This window comes from Homo sapiens, chromosome 13, assembly GCF_000001405.40.
Source record: "Homo sapiens chromosome 13, GRCh38.p14 Primary Assembly".
Taxonomy (NCBI): Eukaryota; Metazoa; Chordata; class Mammalia; order Primates; family Hominidae; genus Homo; species Homo sapiens.
This window is the reverse complement of record NC_000013.11, coordinates 61,310,640-61,323,949: the sequence shown is the minus strand read 5'-3', so window position 1 is coordinate 61,323,949 and position 13,310 is coordinate 61,310,640. Positions and strand designations below refer to the sequence as shown.

Below are 13,310 nucleotides of genomic sequence, written 5' to 3'. Positions count from 1 at the left end.
AGCAGTGAGCAAGGCTCCACGGGCGTGGGACCTGCCAAGCCAGGTGCGGGATATAATCTACTGGTGTGCTGTTTGCTAAGACTGTTGGAAAAGAGCAGTATTAGGGCAGGAGTGTCCTGATTTTCCAGGTACTGTCTGTCATGGCTTCCCTTGGCTAGGAAGGGGAATTCCCCAACCCCTTGTGCTTTCTGGGTGAGGCGATGCCCTGCCCTGCTTTGGCTCACACTCTGTAGGCTGCACCCACTGTCCAACCAGTCCCAATTAGATGAACCCAGTACGTCAGTTGGAAATGCAGAAATCAGCAGTCTTAGCATTCTTCTGCATTGCTCACGCTGGGAGCTATAGACTGGAGCTGTTCCTATTCGGCCGTCTCAGAACCGCCCCTTCTACACATATGTCATTTTTAAAACTTTTTTTATTGTGGTGAAATAAGCATAACAGAATTTATCATATTAACCATTTTAAGTATCTAGTCAGTGGTATTAAAAACATTCATATTGGTGTGCAACCATTGTCACCACTCACCTCTGGAACCTTTTCATCAAAACTAAAATGTCATGCCCATTAAACAATAACTCCCCTTTTTCTCCACCACACAGCCCCTTCTGCTGTCTTTCTCTATAAATTTTACTATTCTAGGTAACTCATAAAATTGAAATCATACAATAGTTTTGTTCTAATGACCAGCTCATTTCACTTAGCATAATGTCTTCAAGGTTCATCCATATTGTAGCATGTGTCAGAAATTCTTCTTTTTTAAGGCTGAATCAAATTCCATGGTGTGTATATTTCACATTTTGTTTACCTATTTATTTGTCGAGGGACACTTGGTTTTTTTGCACATGTTGGCAATTGTGAATAATGCTGTTGCAAGCATGGGTGCACAAATAATTATTTGAATTCCTGATCTCAATTATTTTAGGTATACCAGAAGTGGAATTGCTGGATCCTATGATGATCTATTTATAATGTTTTGAAGAAACTCCTCAGTGTTTTTCATAGCAGCTGCACCATATTACATTTCCACCAGCAGTGGACTAGTATTCCAATTTCTCCACACCCTAGTCAACACTTATTACATGGGCTGTTTGTTTGAAAGTAGCCATTCTTATGGGCATGAAGTGCCTATCTCATTTTGGCTTTAATTTGCATTTCCTTAATATTTAGTGCTTTTGAACATCTTTTCTTGTAGTTATTGGCCATTTGTGCATCTTCTTGGGAGAAATATCTATTCAAAATTTTTGCCCATTGTTTAATTATTTCTTCATTGTTATTGTTGAATTGTAAGAGTTTTTTTTTTATTTAGCCTGGTTATTAACCCCTTACCAAATATATGACTACCAAGTATATTCCCCTATTCTGTATATTCCCTTTTTACTCTGTTTATAATGTCTTTTGATTCACAAATTTTTTAATTTTGCGGTAGCCCAATTTGTCTATATTTTCTTTTGTAACTTTAGCTTTTGGTGTTATATCCAGGCAATCTTTGTGAAATCTGAAGTCATGAAGGTTTTCTACTGTTTCTTTCTAACAGTTTATAGTTTTATCTCTTATGGTTAGGTCCTTGATCCAATTTGAGTTACTTTTTGCATTAGGTTTAGGGTAAGGATCCAACAACATTCTCATACATGTGAATATCCGGTTTTCCAATACAGTTTGTTGAAAAAAAAAAAAGTCTTCTTGAATGATCTGGTCACTCTTGTCAAAAATTACTTGACTGTATGTGTGAGGATTTATTTTTGTGCTCTCTATTCTATTCGATTGGCCTATATGTCTGTCTTTATGCCAGTACCACATTGTTTTTTTTACCATATTATGTAGTAAGTTTTGAAATCAGGAAGTGTGAGACCTCCAACTTTGTTCTTCTCTCTCAAAATTGTTTTCACCATGTGGTGTTCATTTCAGAATAGATTTTCCTATTTGTGCAAAACACATCAGGATTTTGATAGAAATTGAATTGAATCTTTAGATTTGCTCTGGGTAATATTGATAACAATATTAAATCTTTCAATTGATGAAACAATATTTTCCATTTATTTGTGTCTTCTTTGAATTCTTTCAGCAATGTTTTGCAGTTTTCAGTATACAAGTCTTTTACCTCATTGGTTCACATAACCATTTTATTATTACTTAATTACTTAATCAATTTTAAATTTAAACTTTTATTTTAGATAAAGGGGTACATTACAAGTTGGTTACATGGGAATATTGTGTGATGTTGTTTGGGGTATGGAATCCATCACCCAGGAAGTGAACATTGTGCTTAATAGGTAGTTTTTTTCCCTTCTAGTAGTCCACATTGTCTATTGTTCCCATGTTTATGCCCATGTGTGCTCACTGTTTGGCTCCCACTTATGAGTGAGAACATGTGCATACCCCATTAAAAAGACCTCAGCTGGGCATGGTGGCTCACGCCTGTAATCTCAACACTTTGGGAGGCCAAGGTGGGTGGATCACGAGGTCAGGAGTTTGAGACAAGCCTGACCAACATGGTGAAACCCCATCTCTACTAAAAATACAAAAATTAGCTGGGTGTGGTGGTACACACCTATAATCCCAGCTACTCAGGAGGCTGAGGCAGGAGAATCACTTGAACCAGGGAGGCGGAGCTTGCAGTGAGCTGAGATCACGCCACTGCACTCCAGCCTGGGCAACAGAGCGAGACTCCATCCCCAAAAAACAAAAAACAAACAAACAAAAAACCCTTTATTGTATGCTTTAGAAAGAACTTCAGCTTTTACTCAGACTGCTTTGAGAAATTTCAGTGTCATTAAAGGCAAAATGTGTGTTATAAAAGACATATCAACTGCTATGATCACACATATGCAATGTAAGGTCTGGTTCCTTTACTGAGTTAAAGCCTGGTTCACACTTCAATAACAGTTATGAAAAATATAGATTGTGCTTTCATGTCATGGTTCTTTTTATGTGCTCCCAAACACCAATTTATATTATCAAAACATAAGAAACGTGAATAATTATTCCCCCTCTTATGCTAGCAAGTGATTTTATGAGTAATTACATGAAAGATACCTGTAATTCCCATCTCTGACCCGAATTCTTCCTAGTGACTTTCCTCTCCTGTTTCAGTAGGCACCAAGTGTCACTTAATACATCAAAGATGCTATGTTCACTCAATAATATTGAAACAGTCATTTATAAATTGTGAAGGAGGCTTTAAAAACGTGTTTTGATAAAGGAGGAATTTTTCCTATAAAAAATAAAACTAAAACAAAGAAAGATTCCTCACCTGATGCATTTTGTGTGAAAATACTGCTATTTCACTATGATACAGTAAGGCTCTGTCACTTACTGCTGAATTCATGATACTGTAATTTTTTGTCATTTATTATTTATAGACTTCCTTCATTGTGCACAGAGTCCACAAAACAGAAGATGGATTGGCTAGGGTTCTAAATAGCTCCTAAGGAATGAGTGGGACCCGAAAAACACTTGACTACTTAATTATATTAATAACCTGCAATTGCAGGTGTAAAATTCAACAAAAATTATATACTCTAGTTTTTTAAAATAAATTTTGAATACCTGGGATAAAGTAAATAGGTATACAAATACTGTATTTAGTTAATCTATGATCATTAAAGGTTTGATATGTCTTAAGAAATAATAGCTTTCCGAAACACTATGCTGTATGTGCAGACACATAAAAAAGTTTTTAATCCTTTCAATAGCACAGCATTATACATAAAATTATATATCACTTTTTTCTGTACACTCACTAATTACATGCTGGGTCAAAGCTTCCTTCATGTACAAAATCCATGCACCTGAGCAACATTACCATTAGCCACAATGCACATCATTCCAGGGATGCATTGCTATTCACAGCCCTTACTAGTTATCTCAACTTCTCTACCATTTTTAGAATTGTGAATGTCATTTTGAGATATTTTAAAAAACACTTCAATTTAATATTAATTTTGTCTTTAGTTAAGCTCACAGTATTCCTTTCTCTTACGCTTTTTAAAATATATATTGCTGGAATTATAACAGCTTTTGAGGGAATTTGGTGAATTGCGTTTAAGGCCTAATTAATCACACCAGCTTCTTTGTTTTTTTATTTTTATTTTTTTGAGACAGAGTTTCACTCTGGTTGCACAGGCTGGAGTGCAATGATGCGATCTCAGCTGTCTGCAACCTCTGCCCCCCGGGTTCAAGCGATTCTCCTGAGAGCCTCCCAAGTAGCTGGGATTATAGGCATGTGGCACCACGCCATGGCTAATTTTGTATTTTTAGTAGAGATGGGGTTTCACCATGTTGGTCAAGCTGGTCTCAAACTCACGAACTCAGGTGATCTGCCCGCCTTGGCCTCCCAAAGTGCGGGGATTACAGGCCTGAGCCACTGAGCCTGGCCCACACCAGCTTCTCTTAAGCTTTGAACTTCCTGGTTTATTATCAGAGATTTTGGAAAACTGCTTTAATAATCATGTGAAAATATGAAAACATGTATAAATTAGCATTAACAAATATCTACAAAATGTAAACAGCCATGAGCTGAAATTCTAGATAAACTAATCTACGTATAATAAAACCCACGTAATTTGCTTGCCATCATCTCATTATCTTCCTTTGTTGTAGCTGTATTTTTTGGCATAAGTGTGATCCCTTTTGTAGCGTACCAGCCACTTGATTTTTTACTGCTTCTTTTTTCTTTACTATAATCAATCACTAAGATGAATACAGCATTTCTTTCATCATATAATAGGCAATTTAAAGGTCTGATTTACTCTTTTGTTATCTGGTAGAGCTCTGAAATTTATTTTTACTTTTGGCATTTTTAACTCCTCAACTAAACTATGAGGTCCTGGGGCCCCAGCTATTTATCCTTTATCCCTAGAAATGGGAACAGTATTTGGGAGATGGGAATGTTGACAGTAGATGGTGAACATAAGCTCCCCAAAACAGAGGTTTCTGTTTAAATTGCTTTATGCTGTATGTATGCCAGGGCCTAGAAGAAAAAAAATACCTGCCACATATACTATTCCCAATAAATATTTGTTAGAGGAATGAATATATAAATGATTTAAATTAAATAAAGAACAAATTATCTAGTAGCTCAAGATTAAAGAAAAGGGTACATTCAGCTTAGATTAACCAAATTATATGTTGCATCTTTCAGGTGCTTTGTGGGTGAGGTATAAAGTTGATTAAGAAAATTGTTCATAGGAATCCAAACTGATTGTAGGACCTGTCATTATGGTCTCCATGTATTTATCATATCTCATTGAGATTCTTCCAGTAACTTCCTTTCTCATATCTCTGCACTAATAATCTCTTTCAATTTCAATTTACACTTCTCATTGAACAGAGACTGTAGTACCCAAGAGAAAAACAAAAAGAGTATTATATAATGGGAGAGTATATTGCATTAACTCTTTCATTTCTTTTAATAATAATAAAGATGTTGTACTTTACTGGTTTTTGGTGTATGAATTGACAGTGAACATACTGCTTGGTTATAGGTCAGATGGTCCCTTTGCACATATGGCCAGCAAGATTTTTAGGAAGCATAAGAATTCTATATGGTCAAGTGGTTGACAGTAGCACCCTCTGTCATTTTTGTCAGGTTATATGCACCTGGTTAATGACATTATGGAATATATGATGTGATTTTAACTAAATATTCTCAGGAAATGGACAGGTAGCTTTAAAAGAACTCTACAAGGAAACCATAGGTTGAAGACACTAGTAATTGTGCAAGTACAAATAAACAAAAGTAAACGACTTTCTTTGCCCATTCTTGGTGAATATTTTTCATCAGCCATATTATGAGGTAAAAATAACAATGATCTTATCAATGGTGACAAGAAATCAGTCATCTAGCCAACGTTTTTAAGTGTCTGTATGAATCATGGATTTGCAAACACTGATATTAACCATAATCTTGATCTTATAGTATATAATACAGTAAGATATATGATAAACATAGAATGACACTATAATCAGATGCACAATTATAAACAGTAACTATACAAAATTTGAAAATATTCTTTAAATCTTTTTTTAACAATATTTAAAATTACACAATAAATTTAGTAAAAACTTTAATAAATTTTACTTCACTTAATGATAAATTTTAGAAACATATTTTAAGGTTACCAACAATAAAATATTAAAAATAAGAAGCTGCATAGTATTAAATGAATACTTATTTTTCCTTGAGTAATTTTAAAAAAATCTAAAATTTATGTGGAAAATAATACGACTAATAATTGAACCAGATTCATTGCTCAAAACATACTTTTGAAAGACAAAACAAAATTTTAAATATTTGAAGACATGTTTACAAACAAAATACACAAAATTACAAATTTACAAACAAAAAAACAAAATTTTCTTTATTTCAATAAAGAAAATACAAAAACAACTATTTTTAGTGTAAATTACTGAAAAAGTAGGTAATTCAGAATATATTTTCTCAAGTAACCATGGAAGACTAACCACTGGTATGATTCCTTCTTTGAATAGAATATTTTTAAGAATTCAGAAATAAGGTGTAAGAGATATTTCTCTAACACAGAATTCACAGGCCTTATTGTAACAAAGACATTGAGGAAAGTGACATCACCAAAATGGCAGAGTGGAAGCAATCTGGCTTCATTCCTCTCTGTAGAAAACCAAAACCAAATATCTTGCACCAAGATTACAACGAGCAATAACCCAGAACTCAAATCGTAGGAAGGGACCGTCTCTAGAACAATAGAGAAATGAAAAAACTTCTAGCAGATGGTAAGAAAATTGGACTTCTGTATCCACAATGACTCTTCTCCAATCTGCCAGGCGTCATATTCATAGAAAGTTTCTCCTGGATTCGTAGTTTCTACAATGAAGTAAGTAATATCAAGGCAGACAACCAGCTTCCCCACCACCATGAATTACTTTGCACATGAGAATTGTCTTTTCCTCAACTCACAGGACACATTGCAAGTACCAGTAAAGGAAAACAAACAAAGAAACAAACAAAAACCCTGAGGGCAGCCAGTGACAAAGGAATGAGCATCCTCAGACTGAAAAACCTTGCTGTTCATCTCAGCCAAAGAAAACACCAAACCAAAGTGGCTGTTCAGCAGCACCATGTGGTAGGAGGCATGCTCCATGGGCCCCCTAGGCACAAAGCGCTAGCCAACCTTCACACACAGCTTGGGTATTCCCCTTGGGACCTCCCCCACTGGGACAAGAAGCATTCTGAATGCTTGCTACAGCTGAGGCAAAACTGGGCTTAAGACACCATCTGCTGAAAAGAAAACAGTAACCTAGCATAAAGAAAATTCAGTGGGTAAACTGCAAGCAATCTGTAAGCAAACATATTCAAGAAAAACTAAAACAAGTCAGACATAGAAGACTGAAATAAATTACTATCTTTCAAAGCAAAAACACAGACACACATTCACAAGAACAATAACAAAGAGGAAATCATGACCTCCCCAAATGGACAAAGCAAGAAGTTAGTGTGACAGTGTTCAATGGCAATATGTGAGCTCTCAGATCAAGAATTAGGATTAGCAGTAAGAAAATTCAGTGAACTTCAAGATAACACAGGGAAGCAATTCAGAAACTTTTGACAAAGTGATTGAAATAATAATTTTTAAAAAGCAAGCAGAAATCCTGAAACAGAAATATATTTGTGGAACTGAATAACACATTCGAATTTTTAACAGCTCAATAGATTGAACAGAGTTAAGATTCAATGATCTTGAAGACAGGCTTTTTGGAAATACACAGTCAGAGGGAAAAAAAGGAATAAAGAATGAAAAAGAATGAAAATCTAAGAATCATTGATGTTCAAGTGGAGTTGAAAAAGAGCAGGGAGTTGAAAGCTTATTCAAAGAAATAATAAAAGAAAATTTTCCAAATGTATAAAAAGATATAAATATCCAAGCACAGGAGGGCAGAGATCACTGAAAATATTTAATCCAAATGAGCCTACCACAAGGCATATAATAAACAACCAAAGTCCAAGGAGAAAAACAGGATCCTAAAAGCAACAAGAAAAAAATAATAAAATAAGATAAAAAGGAGCTCCAATTTATCTGGCAGACTTCTTAATGGAAACCATATAGGCCAGGAGGGAATAGGATGACATATTCAAAGTATGCAAAGAAAAACTGCTAAAGAAGAATATTGTTCCCAGCAAAGCTATCCTTCAAATGTAAAGGGGCCATAAAGTCTTTCCCAGACAAAAGCTGAGAGAATTAATCAACACTGTATCCATCTTACAACAAATACTAAAAGAAATACTACAACAAATACTAAAAAAAAAAATACTAAAATAAATACTAAAAGAAATTATTTGTTCTGAAAGAAAAAGACACTGATATGCAAAAAGAAAACATTTGAAGGTATAAAACCCACTGGTAATAGTAAGTATAGTAAGTATATCTCTATTATAGAGTAAAAAAACAAATCTATTAAAATAATATTTACAGAAACTTGTTAAGAGATGGGCAATATAAAAATCTATAAACTAGGCCAGGTGTGGTGGCTCATGCCTGTAATCCCAACACTTTGGGAGGCTGAGGAGGGCAGATCCCTTGAGGCTAGGAGTTCAAGACCAGCCTGGCCAACATGGTGAAACCCTGTCTCTACAAAAATTAGCCAGGTGTGGCTGGGCACGGTGACTCATGCCTGTAATCCCAGCACTTTGGGAGGCCGAGGTGGGCAGATCACAAGGTCAGGAGATCGAGACCACCCTGGCTAACACAGTGAAACCCTGTCTCTACTAAAAATACAAAAAATTAGCCGGGCATGGTGGTGGGCACCTGTAGTCCCAGCTACTCGGGAGGCTGAGGCAGGAGAATGGCTTGAACCCAGGAGGCAGAGCTTGCATTGAGCCGAGATCGGCCACTGCACTGCAGCCTGGGTGACAGAGCGAGACTCCACCTCAAAAACAAACAAACGAACAAACAAAAAATTAGCCAGGTGTGGTTCACACCTGTAGTCCCAGCTACTTGGGAGGCTGAGGCACGAGACACATTTGAACCCAGGAGACAGAGGTTGCAGTGAGCTGATATTGTTTCACTGCACTCCAGCTGGGGTGACAGAGTGAGACTCTATCTCAAAAAAAATATAAGGTATAAACTGAGTTTAAAAAAATGTCCATATGTGCAGAAGATTATAGAAAGTGTAAAGCTTTTTAGTTTCTTTCAGTTTTTTAAAAATAACTTCATTTAAATACAAAGAAAGATAGAAAGGAAGAAAAAAAGAGAAGAGTTACAAAACACCAGAAATCAAGTAACAAAACAGCAGTAGTAAGTTTGTATGTATCAATAATAACATTGAGTGTAAATGGACTAAATTCTCCAATTAAAAGACGGAGTGGCTGAATGGATGAAAGAAAAAAAAGACCCAATTATATGGTGCTTACAGGAAACCCACTGCAACTATAAAACACACACAGACTGAAAGTGAAAAGATGAAAAAGATATTCCATGCCAATGGAAACCAAAAAAAGCAGTAGTAGTTATACTTACATCAGATTAAAAGACTGTAAAAAGAGACAAAGAAGGTCACTATATAATGACAACAGAATCAATTTTGCAAGACTATGTAACAATTATGAATATATGTGCACTCTACATGGGAACACCTTGATATAAATGATATAAAGCAAATATTAATATATACAAAGCAAGAGAGAGACTGCAATGCAATAATAGTAGGGGACTTCTACGCATTACTGTTAGTAATGGGATAGAGACAGAAAATCTGGATGCAGACAGAAGAATCAATAAAAAAATTACATACTAGACCAAATACACTTAACTAATACTTACAGAATGTTTCACCCAACTCCTGCAGAATACTAATTTCTTTCATTAGCACATGGAATGTTCTTCTGAATAGACCATATGTTAGGCCACAAAACAAGTCTCAACGAATTTTAAAAAGTTGAAATCATCTAAAGTATATTTTCTGACCACAACAGAATAAAACCAGAAATCAATAATATAAGTAACCTTGGAAAGTACACTAATACATGGAAATTAAACAACTAAGAGGGAAGTTTGCAGCAATAAACATCTATATCAAAAAAGTAGAGAGACTTTAAACAAACAACCTAGTGATTCATCTAAATTGCTAAAAAAGCAAAAACAAACTGAACCCAAAATTAGTAGAAAGAAGGAAATAAAACAATCACAGCAGAAATAAATTGATATGGAGACTAAAAAATATACAAAAGGTCAACAAATGAAAAGTTCATGTTTTAAAATATAAACACAACTGAAAAAAGTTAAAGCAAACTAGGAAAAAAGAGAAAAGACCAAAAATGAATGAAATGAGAAATACAAAGGGATAAAACAAATGATACTACAGAAACAAAAGGCACATTAGAGACTATTATGTCAACAAATTGGAAAGCCTAAAATAAATAAATTAATTTTATAACACATACAACCTACTAAGATTGAACAGTGAAGATATAGAAAATCTGAACCAACCAATAACACGTAACAAGCTCAAGACCTGATGGCTTCACTGCTGAATTCTACCAAACATTTTTACTACTTCTACTAAAATTATTCAAAAAATTGAAGGAGAGGGAATATTTCCAAACTCATTCTGTCCCATTTAGCATTATCCCAATACCAAAACCAGACAAGGGCACAACAATAACAAAAAACTACAGACCTAGCTCCCTGATGAACATATATACCAAAAATCCTCCACAAAATACAAGCTAAACTAAACAGCGCATTAATAAGAACATACACCTTGATCAAGTGGGATTCATTCCAGGGATGCACGTTTGGCTCAATATAAATCAATAAACATGATTCTTCACATTAACAGAAACTCTCAACGAACTGGGTATAAAAGAAACATAACTCAAAACAATATAAATCATGTATGAGAAACCCACAGCTAACATTATACTGAATAAGGAAAAACTGAAAGCCTTTCATCTAACATCTGAAACAAGACAATACCAATATTCATCACTTTTATTCAACATAATGCTAGAAGTCCCAGACAGAGCAATTAGACAATAGAATGAAATAAAGGCATCGGCGTTAAAAAGGAAAACGTCAAGTTATATTTGTTCACAAATAACATGATCTTATATTAGAAAAACCTAAAGACTGTACAAAAAACTGTTAGAACTGATAAATTTAGTAAAGTTGTGCAACATAAAATCAACTTTCAAAAATCAGTATCACTGTTTCTATATACCAACAGTGAACAACAGTCTAAAAAAGAAATAAAGAAAACAATCTCATTTATAATAGGTACAAAAATATGTAAAATACATAGGAGTAAATATATCTAAACAAGTGAAATATCTCTACAAGGAAAACTATAAAACACTGATGAAAGAAATTGAAGAGGACACAAAATAATGGAAAAGTTGTTTATGCTCATGGATAGGAAGAATTAAGATTGTTAAAATGACCATACTACCCAAAGCAATCTATAGATTCAATGTAATCCCTATCAAAAAACAATGACATGATTTACAAAAATAGGAAAAATCCTAAAATTTGTATGGAATGACAAAAAGCCCAAATAGGCAAAGCAATCCTGAACAAAAGTAACAAAGCTGGAGGTGTCAAGCTACCTGACTTCAAAATATACTACAAAGCCATATAAATCAAAACAGCATGGTAATAACAGAAATAAATGTATGCACTTTTAGCTAACTCATTTTCAGCAAAGGTGCCAAGAACATCCACTGGGAAAAAGACATTCTATTCCATTAATGGTACCAAGAAAACTGGGTAATCTATGCAGAGGAATAAAGCTATATCCTACCTCTCATCCTATACAAAATTCAAATCTAAATGGATTAAAGACTTAATTCTAAGACCAGATACTATGATATAAGTGGAAGTAAACATTGGGATAAATGCTTCAAGATACTTGTCTGTGCAAAGATATTTTGGGGTAAGACCTCAAAAGCTCATGCAACAAAAGCAAAACTGAACAAATAAGATTACATCAAGCTAAAAAGCTTTTACACAGCAAAGGAAATAATAAAGTTAAGAGAAAATCTACAGAATGGGAAAAATTATTTGCAAACTATCTACCCTACAAAAGATTAATAATCAGAATATATAAAGAACTCAAACAGCTCAATAGCAAAAAAGAAATAATCTGATTAAAAAATGAGAAAAAGATCTGAATAGATATTTCTCAAAATAAGGCATAAATGGCCAATTGATACATTTTTAAAGATGCTCAACATCACTAATCATCAGGGAGATGCAAATCAATACCACAATGTAATACCATCTCAACTCAGTTACGGCTTTTATCCAAAAGACAAAAAATAATGGATGCTGGCAAGCAAATAGTGAAAGGGCAATTCCTGTACACTGTTATTGAGAATATAAATTAACCACTGTGGAAAACAGTATAGAGGTTCCTCAAAAAACTAAAAATAGAACTACCATATGATCTAACAATCCACTACTGGATGTATATCCAAAAGGAGGAAAACGAATATATCAAAAGATTTTTGCACTCTCATGTTTATTGCAGCACTAATTGCAATATTCAAAATATGAAAATCAACTTAAGTATCCATCAATGGATGGATGGATAAAGAAAACATGGCATATATACACAATGGAATATTATTAGCCATAAAAAGGATGAAATCATGTCATTTGCAACAACATGGAAAAAACTGGAGGTCATTATGTTAAGTGAAATAAACCAGTCATGGAAAGATAAATATTCCATGTTCTCACTTATACAGGGGAGCTAAAAACGTGGATTTCAGGAAAATAGAGAGTAGATTGGTGGTTATTAGAGGCCAGAAAAGGTAGGGGAAGGGAAAGTATAAAGAAAAGTTTATTAATGGTTACAAAAATCAGGTAGATAAAAGGAATAAGATCTAGCATTTAAAAAATAAAGTAGGGTGACTATAGTTGAAAATAATCTATTGTTATTTCAAAATAGTTAGAAGAATTCATATTTTCCCAGTAGAAAGAAAAGGTGTTTGAGGTGATGTATATGCAAATGACACTGATTGTACTATTACACGTTATATGAATGTATCATAATATTTCAAGTGCCTTGAAAATATGACATCTATTCTGTATCAATAAAAATAAGTAAATATTTAAAAAGCTAAATCTAAGCATGCATATTCAAAAGAAGAAACAGGCATCAAAGGCAGTTAAAGCATATAATATCAGTTATTTTTGATGTAGCTAAATTTATATGAATAGACCTTGAAATATATTAGAATCTTTAAAATATATCACAATGAAACAGTGAGTCACAAATTTTGAACCACACAGAGTTTTCATGGTTACCAGAAGGTAACCGTGAAAGGCTTTATT

General features: G+C 34.1%; 1 annotated feature.

Moving 5' to 3' along the window:
* Positions 6,795 to 7,296: an enhancer, noted in NCBI's record as "NANOG hESC enhancer chr13:61890787-61891288 (GRCh37/hg19 assembly coordinates)". NCBI's record gives its function as "activates a minimal SCP1, AML or CMV promoter by ChIP-STARR-seq in naive H9 embryonic stem cells {active_cell/tissue: H9 hESC(naive)}" and the evidence as "EXISTENCE:reporter gene assay evidence [ECO:0000049][PMID:30033119]".